Source organism: Homo sapiens, chromosome 3, assembly GCF_000001405.40.
Source record: "Homo sapiens chromosome 3, GRCh38.p14 Primary Assembly".
In the NCBI taxonomy this organism is placed as follows: domain Eukaryota; kingdom Metazoa; phylum Chordata; class Mammalia; order Primates; family Hominidae; genus Homo; species Homo sapiens.
Genome location: NC_000003.12, coordinates 113,573,456 through 113,586,122, shown reverse-complemented (window position 1 = coordinate 113,586,122; position 12,667 = coordinate 113,573,456). Strand labels below are relative to the sequence as shown.

The 12,667-nt window shown below is 39.6% G+C and overlaps 1 protein-coding gene across 31 annotated transcripts in view; it reads right to left on the bottom strand.

Annotated features, from left to right (window-relative positions):
* SIDT1 (SID1 transmembrane family member 1) overlaps nucleotides 1-12,667 on the bottom strand; it is a 104,557-nt gene that overhangs the window by 50,989 nt on the left and 40,901 nt on the right. For 12 of the 31 annotated variants that reach the window (NR_136280.2, NR_136282.2, NR_136283.2 and 9 more), the window contains 6 exons: nucleotides 9,156-9,201; nucleotides 5,414-5,515; nucleotides 4,679-4,762; nucleotides 2,627-2,714; nucleotides 1,354-1,425; nucleotides 853-946 (listed from right to left, as the gene is read on the bottom strand). Coding sequence is in view for 24 of the 31 variants with exons in the window: in XM_047448376.1 (XP_047304332.1) it covers nucleotides 853-946; nucleotides 1,354-1,425; nucleotides 2,627-2,714; nucleotides 4,679-4,762; nucleotides 5,414-5,515; nucleotides 9,156-9,201 (486 nt within the window). In the remaining 7 variants the exon portion in view is untranslated. Of the gene's footprint in view, nucleotides 1-852; nucleotides 947-1,353; nucleotides 1,426-2,626; nucleotides 2,776-4,678; nucleotides 4,763-5,413; nucleotides 5,516-9,155; nucleotides 9,202-12,667 lie in introns of those variants that run through there. The other 19 variants (NR_136284.2, NR_136285.2, NM_001322300.2 and 16 more) reach the window with 6 other exon arrangements.

Below are 12,667 nucleotides of genomic sequence, written 5' to 3'. Positions count from 1 at the left end.
ACCCATATTCTTAAAATACGTAGTTGTATCACTGAGGTAGCCATGAAGTCTTTCCATGGATGGAGTTCATTTTGCAAACAGTCTCAAAACTCAATTCTGGCTTTGTTTTCTTTACATGTTCAAGAAGAGAAAGAACATTTGTTTATTGTAAATCTCCTGCCATTCTTTTGTAGTTGTTTCACAGAGAATGCCACAAAGAATGGAATTCTCAAGGTTCAACCCCGCTGAGAGAGGGAAGGAAAGCCCTGTGTCATTAGGGGCTCCAAACTCTTCGCAAGGGAAATTTCTTTGGTCAAATTACAGCACAATTACCTCCTTTCCCCCTCCAAGGGACATTTTACTGGAAAATTGATGCTACAACAGAAGGAAAACACTTGGTAATGCTGTATCAAAGAACATTACTCCTGCTCTTTGTTGCACCTCAAGATTTATTTTAGGCATTACATTTACTTTTTGTTAGAATGTTTAAAGCTGTTTCTAAATCTCCATGTTAGGATAAACTGACCATCTACAGTGAGTATTTTCTGGTTTAAAAAATATACATGTTGCCTTTTTGTTGAGTTTTAATTAACTATGAAAATAACACTCTACCAGCACCTATTATGTGTGTGTTATTGATATAAAAGCTGCAGTTGTACTTTTTGTGGGGTAAATTATTATCTCACTTTATGGATGAGGAAACTGAAGCACAGAGAGTTGAGCAACATCTCCAAGGTCACAAGGTATCCAAGGTCACATTGCTAGTGGCTGAGGGAGATTTGAAGCCAGTCAATATATCTGTCAAGTCTGTGCTGCAAGCGTTACACAGAGACAGGCACAGGGAATTAACATTTCTAGAAAAGATTGACCTACCTCAGATAATGAACAAACCCAACAAGAAGGCATCCCAAGTAGAAGGACAGGAAGATGAAGACACTGAAAAGACTGGATTTCACATAAACAGATTCTGAAGGGAGAGAAACAACTTTGGTCAGGTCATCCTCTGCAGAAAAGAAGACTCCATCTGAGACAGGACGGCTTAAAGGGCCCCCTCCATCATATTGATTCTTAGGTCCTAATAAATTTTTGTTCACAGCAAAACTGCTACTGGAGGTCCCCAGACATTATCCACAGTAGCTACCTTTCACAATGATGACTTCCCAGTAGAAGCTGGGAAGGGACTTCACGATTGAGGTCCCTTTCTTTTTAGGAGGGATTTAACAAAATGCTCTGACTCCCTTTTCTATTTCTAAGGTAAATATACTTTAGTTTTCTTATGACAATTCTCTCTGGAAGGATGACAGTAATATCAAATTATATGACTGATTTTCTGACACAGGAATCTCTTCAATGCATTCTGGAGCCAACACTGACCTTTAATGGAAGGGACAATGGTCACTTCAAGGTTCTTTTTTCGCTGTAGATTCCAGGTCTGGTTTTCCTTTTCTGGTTTAAAAAAAATAAAAAAAGAACAAAGCACATTGAATCAGATAATGATTTTTTTTGGTCTCTTGTCTGAACTGTTGTTCAAAAAATGTCCAGAATTAATTCTGATCACTGAATCTTATTTTAGCAAGAACTGGAGGAATATGTAACCCCCAAACCTTCAAACCATCAGAAATCCCTTTTGGTTAAGGAGACTAGCATTAGACTCTCAATTTGGCCTTTGCTTGTGTGCATTTTGGTACCACTAACAGATGCAAACAAGATTGCGGCCTCCCTTCTCCAATGAAGAGGGGTGGACCCTTCCCCTGATATCCACAGCCATGTGAAGAAAACAGCTGTGAAAACAGAAGCTACCTCTTCCTTTGGTTTGTATGTTTCTAGCCAGTGCAAATTTTTCCCTCTTATATAGTCATGAAAGGGCTTGTAGTTTACCAAGGAATATTTGACATTGGCAAAATTTTGGAGCCATGTAATTAAGAGGTTAAAGAACACACTAGGAGAAATTTCACCTAAACATTAATATCAAGGAAATGATGTTACACTCAACAGTAAACACACTTTGTGTTGGTCACATGTGATTAATCACTGGCTAGTGGTCTATGTTTTCAATCATCAGCCTATTCTGCCCTTAAGGTAGCTACTGGGTAGTTAACCATAACTATTTGTGCTATGCCTAAGAGCCCCCATAACCCCTTATTATTGGGATAAGTTGTAGCAGTTGGGCTTTCTTACTATTTTTCAAGGTATAATTTTGGCAACTGAGATGCAGAATGCTGAATTTTTCTTGTCCATCATTGTGGAAATGATGACTACTGATAAATTAAGTAGCTCCATGGCTACTGGTTACCACCCCATCTTAAGAAATGGACTTTGATCGCTGTGTAAGATCATTACTTCATGGTAGCAAATATTTGTTGAGTAAAGGGCCAACCGAGTGAACTTATCTTCCATGGTCTGAGGGAATACAATGCTTCAAAAAGATGAAATGTACTAAATGATATTTTGTAGTATCGATAATACCTTTAGATCTGTTACTTTCTATCTTTCGTTTTTTTTCTCAAGTATCTCTCAGATGCCTTTCCCATCATGATGATGGAACCAACCCTTGTTTAGTGGGAACTAGAAAGGAGGTTTCAGCTTCCCTTTCACTCCCTTCCTTCAGGTTTTGCTAAGCAGCCAAGTGTTCCTCACTAGCTCTTACCCTGGATGAAGAAAGATCCTCCACAGGCATAATCTTCAGGCTTTATCACAAATACCACGAAGAACTGCTCGCCTGGAAAATCCTTCTTCTGCATAAGACATAACAACCTTATGATAGGCGGTAAGAAAGAGGTAGAAGGGAGAAAGTCCCTGGGGGTAGGGGCAGAAAGAAAGAGGAAAGAGAAGGAAAATAAAGTTCACCCCTGCCCTCTAACTCCTTGGAAAGGACTTTCACATACCCATGATTTACTCCAGATTATCCACTCTAAGATAATTGTTACATCCAAGAAATTAAGGTAAATAGATATACATTCCTGATTTCAATCAATTTTGTGCCTATTTGAGAGCTTAGAACTATAATAAGCACCATATAAATAATATGTGAATAGCCTATGTTTAATAACTAATGCTTACATGTTAAGTTTTTATTTTAGAATCTAATGATAAATCACTTTTCTAAAATGGACACACTCAGCAGTTAAATAAATAATTTAGGTTAGGGAGGCAAAGGACTCAGTTATCATCTTGGCTTTGAGTTACTCTAAGTATGTTTCTCTATGTGCCCATTTCCTCATCCATGAATGAAGTGCGGTTGACAAGATGAACTTTAAGGTCCGTTAGAGTTCTATAACCCAGACTTAAAAAAAAATCATCCCCAAACTTCTGGTGTTATGTTCAGCCCACTGAGAAAATGGCTTATTTATTTATTTTTTTTATTTCAGGCATAGCTGTAAATCATTTTGTTTGTTTGTTTGTTTTTTGAGAAGGAGTTTCGCTCATGTCGCCCAGGCTGGAGTGTGGTGGCGTGATCTCGGCTCATTGCAACCTCTGCCCAAAAGGTTAGGCCCCAAAAGAGAAGTAACAATTTATTGCCAAACACATCCAGGGAAGAGAGTTATTGATATGCTTGCCCTTTATGAATTTAGTGTCCCGGATGAAATACAATTTGAAGTTCCCTACTATAGTTATTTTTCTGTCCTCTTTTATTTGGGACCACATAATGCGGGATGCCAAGAAAGAAAGAAATACTGAAAAACAAGAGCAGATATTTGGGATATCAAATCTGAAGCCTTTGAAAATTAAAGCCTGACAGAAAATTTTAGGTCTCATACCTAAATTATAATTAACTTCTCTTCATTCTTGCCTTATTATTCAGTAAACAGTATCACCTTACCCTAGGGAACAGATCACGCTGCAGGTACTTTAAGTAAGTACCTCCCCCAAAGCAGGGACAGAATCTCCTTGAAAATATGCTTACATGACATGTATACATTTTTGTTATAAAATTACAATTGAAATAATAATTACAAATATCATAAGATAAGCTGCTGTACAAATATGGTCCATATTCTTTTGAATCTGTCCATTCTGTTCAGAATTGAAGACCTCATTTGCTTACTGTTACTGGTATAGATTATTAGAATATGTTTAATTGCTTTAAATGGATCTGACAAACTTCACCCTAAATTGGCACCCCCAATAAGTAGACTGAAATCTTCTGGCCCTACCTCTCTGAGCAATCTGTCAGATACACGTCCCATCGCACCATGGGCTCCTAATAATTGTCAAGGGGAAAGAGGCACCTGGTAGAGTAGCATTGTCTACCATCACCTAGGCTTTGATTTCAATGGAGTTTTGCTGTTGTCGCCCAGGCTGGAGTGCAGTGCTGTGCTCTTGGCTCACTTCAACCTCTGCCTCTTGGGTTCAAGAGACTCTCCTGCCTCAGCCTCCTGAGTAGCTGGGATTGCAGGTGTGCACCACCAAGCCCAGCTAATTTTTGTATTTTTAGTGGAGACAGGGTTTTGCCATATTGGCCAGGCTGGTCTCAAACTCCTGACTTTAGGTGATCCGCTCGCCTTGGCCTCCCAAAGTGCTAGGATTACAGGTGTGAGCCACTGCGCCTGGCCAGACATATTAGTTTTTAAACCAATCAGAAAGGAAGGAGATCCTAGGCACATCATGGATGGCCATCCCTTTTGGATGCTGGCCCAGTAAGTACACTATCTATTGAGCATTACCATTGGCAATAATGCCCACAGAAGCAATGCCTCACCTGTAGCGTGATGGCAGCTTTCTTGGTCATGGACTGATAGACACCATTAAATTCCACATTGTGGTCGAGATCATACACCGGGCACTGCAGCATGCATGAGGAATAAAATGGAAAGCATCCATAATGTCATGCAATGTCATGCCACACATAGGTCCTGTCAGCATCTTTCTGCTTGGATCACAGAGCAGGGGATCCTTATTAACCAGAAACTAGGCAATTTCCCCCCTTGAACAGTCATGACATAGTCTTCCTAAGACTTGGGGCCTCGTCCTCTAAAGTCAAAGTCATGTTATATTGAAGAGAACTATAAAAATATTGTCTTAAAGTGTATAACACTTTTTTCAATTTTCGTTAACACCTCAGGAGACAGAAAGAACCGAATGTTACAATAAAAATTTAAAAGCAGAACAAATGGTAGGGTTCAATTTTAGCTTTCTCGCGGAGCCCACAACTTGGTCTTCCTGGTTCCTTGTTACAATCCTTCCCTGCTTCCTCCCTCCTTTCCTTCTTTGCTTTGTTGATTTTGGTGAAGAGTTAACTATTCTTTACCACTCCAAATTAGTGTCTGCAAACACAGTCTGCCCACTCGTGCTCACAGATACTGTTCGTATTGTTTAGTAGTTTTGGAAGGGAGATACACAGTAAGAGGATGGCATGCTTCCACCCTTCTCTTTCATTTGTTCTGGAATAATATAATGCTCTATAGTAGAAGGTTGGCAAGTTATCAGCACTCACCATGATATTCTGGACTGAGACAACAGAACATGGATAAGCCATTTCAGACACCACTTTAATGATAACTGAGTCCACGTCTTTGGGAAACTTGTATAGAAAATACTGAGAATAAGAAAAAGAAAGACATGATTTATATTTACATGAATGGGATTGTTTCCTCTACTATTAGGCACAAAATTTATACGTAAATCTCCGTGAATCTCCATTAATGAATTCAGTCAGCTCTTCATCTCATACATATTGAGAAACTAAATCTGCGCAGGGCTCTGTGCCAGGCATTAAGAATATAGCAGTAAATAAGACAAAACAGCCATTTTATGCAATGTTGCTATTCCTTTTTCTAGGGTAAAAGAAATAGTCATTTATTTCTCAACTAAACTTTGCTATACTTTAGTTTGTTTCCTGTTTAAGAAGCATCCTGCCCCCTTTAAATTAAGGGTAAGTGAGATATAACATGTGATAAGATTCACTTCTTTCTGTGTGGTCAATGTGACATACGAAAATTCCATATTGAAAAGCAGATAAGCCTGTTCCTCAATAATTTTAACCACCTTCCCATAGGCAAGAATTAGCACTAGACTCATCCTCCCCCTTGCCCTTTTGATCAAGAAACTTGTTGCTGGCTGGAATATAGTGAGAACATACAGAGATTCAAAGACCAAGCCCCATGTGGAGTCCCCAGAAATACATTCACAATTGCGGGCAGGCTGAGGTATCTTTTAAAAGTGTTTTTCAAGTAACACCAGAATTAGGAAACATTTTTAATTGAAAGAGGTTGTACTATTTACCCATGTAGATTATGAATCCACTGGAAAAATGTATTAACTCTAAGTTGTAAACTTGTCCTTAATGATGAAGAAAGGGGAATTCTGCCAAATAATTATAAAATACGATAACTGATTGAGAAGTTATATTAAGCCTATGATTAAGATTTTGAGAAAAGCAACCGAAACAGGCTCCCAGTGAAGACTCTAATAAATCTATCATGTACAGAGAGGCAAAACAAGTTAAAACTTAACTTTGTATTTCAACATCTTTTCTCCTAACCCTATTTTGAGTACCAGGACAATAAAAATGGAATCCTTTTTAATAATCCAAAGCTTTCTGATGGGGAAAAATTATCTCAGAATTAAAGAGTGTCATTAATGATACAGTTGGAAGTCTATTCACATCTTATAACAGATGGCAATACCCCCAAGAACCCACTTAATTTTGGAGCTTGACTCAAATACATATAATACAGGGCTCTTCAAAAGATGAGGAGCATGGAATTTCCAAGAGTGTTCTTGTTTCCCAGGAAACCCATACTGTGTAACTCAAGAGCATTACTATGATTACTGTTGGCAATAATGAGCCTCATATATGTTCCCATATATGCTAGTAATTGGTTTTGTGCAAGCAGTAAACACCCACTGAAAGTATTAACAACTTTATCTGCAAATTACCATAAACCCCAAATAAATGTTTTTGACCCCTGCCTGACAATCTACCTTTACCAGAAAGAAGCGAACGACAAATACCCAAAGCAGTGGCTGGAATTTAGGCTGAAAAATCACTATCTGGGTCCTGGCTACCTCCCCAGTTTCTGCAACCTGCTTCTAACTCCTGGAATAGAGGCAAACAGTGATTGACACAGGTTATCTGAGAATGTGCAACCGTTTGGGTGAGTTTATAGAAAAAGAAAATATTTCCTGTAATCAAAGAGGATACAAAATATAGGTGAAAATGAGACTAGTTAAGAGTAAAGTAAACCTTTCGTAGATATCAAGGAACTTGTTTTGTTTTATTAGTTTGTTCTAAGTATATTTTACTCCATTTTGGGGTTTAAATACAAATTATTTAAATTTTTTTTTCAGAGATAGGGTCTCACGCTGTCACCCAGGCTAGGGTGCAATGGCACAATCATGTATCACTGTAGTCTTGACCTCCTGGGCTCAAGTGATCCTTCTGCCTCAGCCTCCTGAGAAGTCAAAACTACAGATGCAAGCTACCATACCCGGCTAATTTTTTATTTTTTAGGTTTTTGTAGAGACAGGGTCTTGCTATGTTGCCCAGGCTGGTCTTGAACTCTTGGCCTCAAGCAATACTTCTGCCTCAGCCTCCCAAAGTGTTGGGATTACAGGTGCAAGCCACCACACCTGATCAGTATATCATATTTATTATAGCTCTGTACAGGACTGTTAGACTATACAGTTCCTGTAGTTAGAGTGAAAGTTATTCCTCTTCTTTTTTTTTTTTTTTTTGAGACAGAGTCTCGCTCTGTCGCCCAGGCTGGAGTGCAGTGGCTCAATCTTGGCTCACTGCAAGCTCCGCCTCCCGGGTTCACGCCATTCTCCTGCCTCAGCCTCCCGAGTAGCTGGGACCACAGGCGCCCGCCACCATGCCCGGGTAATTTTTTGTATTTTTTTAGTAGAGACGACGTTTCACCGTGTTAGCCAGGATGGTCTCGATCTCCTGACCTCGTGATCTGCCCGCCTCAGCCTCCCAAAGTGCTGGGATTATAGGCGTGAGCCATCGCGCCCGGCCTATTCCCCTTCTACTTTAGGTTTCTCTCTTTGCACCTAGTAATTAGTGCTTTTAAAATATTTCTTGAAATTAAATAGTCAATAAATATTGAGGGCAGTATATTAAGGGCCTTTGGCCCTCTCCTGCCACTGGGTGGCAGTATACATGCGTTGCAGAGACTTTCACAGACAGGAAGTTTAAAAGTGGATTGGAGTTGGTTCATTCAGGCTTGGGAGAGCTGATTGTGCATTAGTCACTTCCCAGCTGTTCAGTGACATCACAATGGGAGCTTAAAATCAGCCACAGTGGAGGTATTTACACCACAGAAATGGGCAAATGCTACAAATCAGGGCTTTCTCTCTGAGAACCAGTTCTTAACTATTTACCAGCACCGCAGTAGTATATTTACAACAAGTCCATGTTAATCCCAGTTTTACTACTCCAAAGCAAAACCTAAGTAGCTATTTATGACCAAAGCTATATTATGGACTAAAGAAAATGTACAACAAATAAACTTGTTTCGAACATGCTATTATATAGAGTTTTGTCTTCAGAAGCTTATGAAAGAAAAAAGGAAGGTAGCTAGAAATGACACCAGAAAAACAGCCTGACTTAATCCAAGTTTTCATGTATTTATTCTATTTGTGGTTATGGTTTAATGGAGAGCACAACACAAATATCTAATTCTCCTGATGTTTTTTGTCAAAATTCTGGCTCTTTCTTTATGAGAGGAGAAACTAATTTACTACACTTATAACATTGTAAACATTAAAATGTCTTATTTTCGTTGTATTTCCAGGTCAATTAATTATTTGTGTATCTGTTTGGTGTCAGCCTTTTACTACCTATCCCCACTACCACTTCCCAGCTATCAGGTTCATAATGGCAGAAGTTGTGTCTCTCCGTTCTTAACCTTTGTGCCTCCAGCACCAGGTGCAGTCTAACAATGTTCTTGGTGCATAGTGGGCACACGATTTTCTCAGTGAGGATTGAACCAATGAACACCTGAAAACAAATAGCATGCCACCCATTTTATACCAATTAAGGTGATATGATTAAATATTGTGTCCAAAATTCCAGTAACACAAGGAATAAAGTGGAATACAAATATACTTCAAGTTGTGAAAGGTCAAGGGCAACACCACACGCTAACTCTACCAGGGTAACATGGTTTCACTAACAGGCAGGCAACACCAACAGGTAGGATGTTGATAACTCTTGGAACCCCTTCACTTACCTGAGGTTGAGAGGGGCTGGCAGTAAAGTGAAAGGCAACATTTGTCCTGAGAAACGTAAGTGGCAGAAGGGAAAGGGGAAAAGTGAGAGAAAAGCATAAGTTAGTGAGCAAAAATTATTTATTTAAAAGAAAGCCATCTTAAAGTAGACTCAAGGAGAGCTTCACCCTTGGTGAGGGGAGTTCCGGTTCCGTGAAACTGACAAAGTAGACTGCATGGGGACTTGGTGGTTTCAACTCTCAAGAATGACCAAACTGGGAAAGGGGATTATTATTTTTATATCTTTAAATATCCATGAAGCCATATCTATATAAGGTAGTTTATTTACTTTTGTAGCCACTTTTGCCTTGGGACTCTCTTGTGCTTGATTTTACAATCAAGCACAGGGTTTAGGTAACAGAAGTGGGCTGAAAGAGAGGGGAAACCCAGGTTCAAGGTCCTTTTGGATAATGTAGATACATTTCAAAATAATTTTGATAGACCCATGGCAAAATGGGTCACCTTTTACCAAACACAGTGAATAGATAACCACATGGGATGGTGCCTAGGGACAGAAGCAGGCCCTTACTATCCCCTAATAGCTCCCCGATTGCCTGCCACGTTGGCTGAAATTCCCCAAGATTTAGTTCCGTTTAGGTTAGGCATTGCCTTCCAAGACCCTCCTTTAAAACATAAATACCACCAAAAGAATATAATGAGGTTTTTTTCTCTTCAATTGGTAATTTACTGTGAATTACATTATTAGATACTTTCATTCTTCCATGTAAGACAGCAATGATCTAGGCACTGAAGAAAGGAGAGTGTGAAGAGTTAGGAAGCATAAATTGGTAGTATAGAGGGCTGTCTGCTGTGAGCATCTGTGAAACAGTTCAAGTGTTTGTCACAAAGACAAATGTGGTCTTCTCTATAGTTTTATAAGGACTACTTTGGGCTTTTTCTCTTTCTGGCTGTTGCCTCATCATTAGCCATGAAGATCATGCACACAAGTCCACAGCAGTCTCAGATCCCCAGGCTGCTGAAACGCTGCACCTGGGAGTGCGTGCCCCTGCCCCTCCAATGTGCCCTGCATTTCTGGGCATCTGAACTTGAACTTCTGGGATTTCTCATCAGCTCCACCCCCTGGGGCTCTCTGAAGATTTTTTTCTTTCCACTCTAATTTTTCTTTCATAAAAATTAAATACCTGTTTTAAAAGTAATGATTTCTTTAGAAAGGACATTTCAAGACATTTAAGCAAGAGGTGTATAATTATAGAGGTGTTATTTAGAAGTCATAAAATTTGAGCACTATTTATAAAGGTAATGACCACAATTTAGGCTGTCATCAGGCTGGGCTCAGAATTTAGCTCGCAACAATAGATGTAATTTTTATATATCTACTTGCAACAGAAATCATAATCAATGTTGAGGATTGGTTCTTCTGAAGCAGAACTGAAAACTTCTGTCCTTAAGTCGCCTAAAGAAGCTAAAGTGAGTGTCAAACCCAGTTATGTTTCTGCTCCAGAGAGTCCTTGGCCAGAGTTTGGACCTGTGACACTTTGTGTGGGCTGGGTAGAGCCCTTTCAGCAGTCTGGGAGTGTCTCCCGGTGTTACCAGGGCAACATGAGACCTTCAATTCTTTGTTGCCAGATCAGAGAACAAAGAAGACATGATTTTCTTGGCTGGCGACATGACTTCTCCTTACTCTCTTGTCTGCACCCTGATCTTTCAAGTCCATCGGTTCCTCATGACAGCATGAAATTTGCAGAAGAAACCCATATTTTTTTGCCAGAGATTTTAATTTTCCCCATCATTTGAGTTTCAGTCATAATACTAAATGTATGAAGATTTGATATTCACTTTCTGTTTTTTCTTGTTCTTTATGTTTTATTTGCTAGTACAATGCATGCAAACTTGTAAAACATGTTACTGTGTTTAAGACTACCATTTATGTCCTCTCTTTCTCATGGAGTCGGCAGTATGTGCAAAATAAACATTGTATCTGTTGCAGATGAAATATTCTGCTTCCTTCCACATGAACCCTAACAGAGGTGGGGAGGGTTTATTTTGTTAGGGGTCATTGACAACAGAACAAAGCTAACTGAAGCTCATGGATTGTTAGTTTTAGAGAAAGAAGTATAAAAATTTCAACTGATTTGTTTTAAAAATTAAACACATTTTAACATGTTTATGTTATGTTTATTTGTTAAACATAAGAGGCTAAAAAACAATTTTGTTTCCTTGTGCTGGCTATTTCAAGAAAAGGGAGAAGGGAGAAGAAACCCATGGACTTGAGAGATGGGGGTGCAGATAGGGGAGTCAGGAGAAGAGGCAGAAAGGGGCCCATGGGTCGGGGGTAGAGAGAGGGAGAAGAAATACAGAGAGGAGAGTAATCAAGTAGAAGAAAAAGAAAAGGGATGGGACAAAAGACTACATAGAAAGAGAGGCAGGACAAACTTTCAGTAGTTTTTGAGGTGAGCACCAGAGAGGACTGTGAGATTCACAGCACCTTACTCATCTTGATTAACAAGCCCCTAGCACAGAGCACAGTGTGCATTCAAAGCCCCTCCTTTGTTTGTTGAAGGAAATGATATCCTATTATTCACTTGAACTATGAACTTCAGAATATCATTCCCTGTTATCTCCTTCTGCCATCTGCTATGAACTCCCTTCAGGACTGTAGCTTTCCCACCGACCTTCTTGTCATTGGGAACTGTCTGCCCTTCATTCCTCTGGTCTAAGTATAAACTCCGCACTCATGTACTTAATTCTCATTCTTTCTATCATTCTCTGGCACTTTGCATCTACAAATATCCAACTCTCCTATGAATTTAATCTGCCTTTCTACCTCTTTGTTTATAAATATATTCTAGTCTCAACCATTTTCAAAACAAATAACAAACACCCCACCCAAATGCCTCCCTTTTCCCTGGATCGCCATCCTTTAATGTCATCCTATGTCCTTCCTCTCTTCACAAACCAGCTGCTTCTAGGAGTATTCCATGTTTATCTCTCTTTCATTCTTTCCTCCACCCACTGCTATCAGGATTCTTTCTCCACCACGCCCTTGAAATTTCCTTTGCTAAGGGTAAGAGTCACCTCCTGTCTTAGCCTATTCAGGCAGCTATAACAAAAATACTGTCAACTCGGTGACTTATAAAGAATGGAAATCTATTATTTCTTACAGTTTTACAGGCTAGCAGGTTCAAGATCAAGGTGTCTGATGAGAGCCTGCTTCCTCATAGATGGTGCCTTCTCACTGCATCCTCATGTGGTGTAAAGGACAGAGGGCCTTTCTGGGGACTCTTTCATAAAGGTATTAATCCCATTCACAAGGGCTCCACTCTCACGACCTAATCATCTCCCAAAGGCCCCACCTCCAAGTACCATCACTGTGGAGATTTCAATATGAATTTTGGGGAAAGTAAACATTGAGACCATAGCACTATCTAATCGCTAAATCCAGTGACTTAACCCCCAGGGATTTCTCCCACACCTCTGGCTGTGTCTACTCAGCCCCTTATGATAGCTTCAGTTT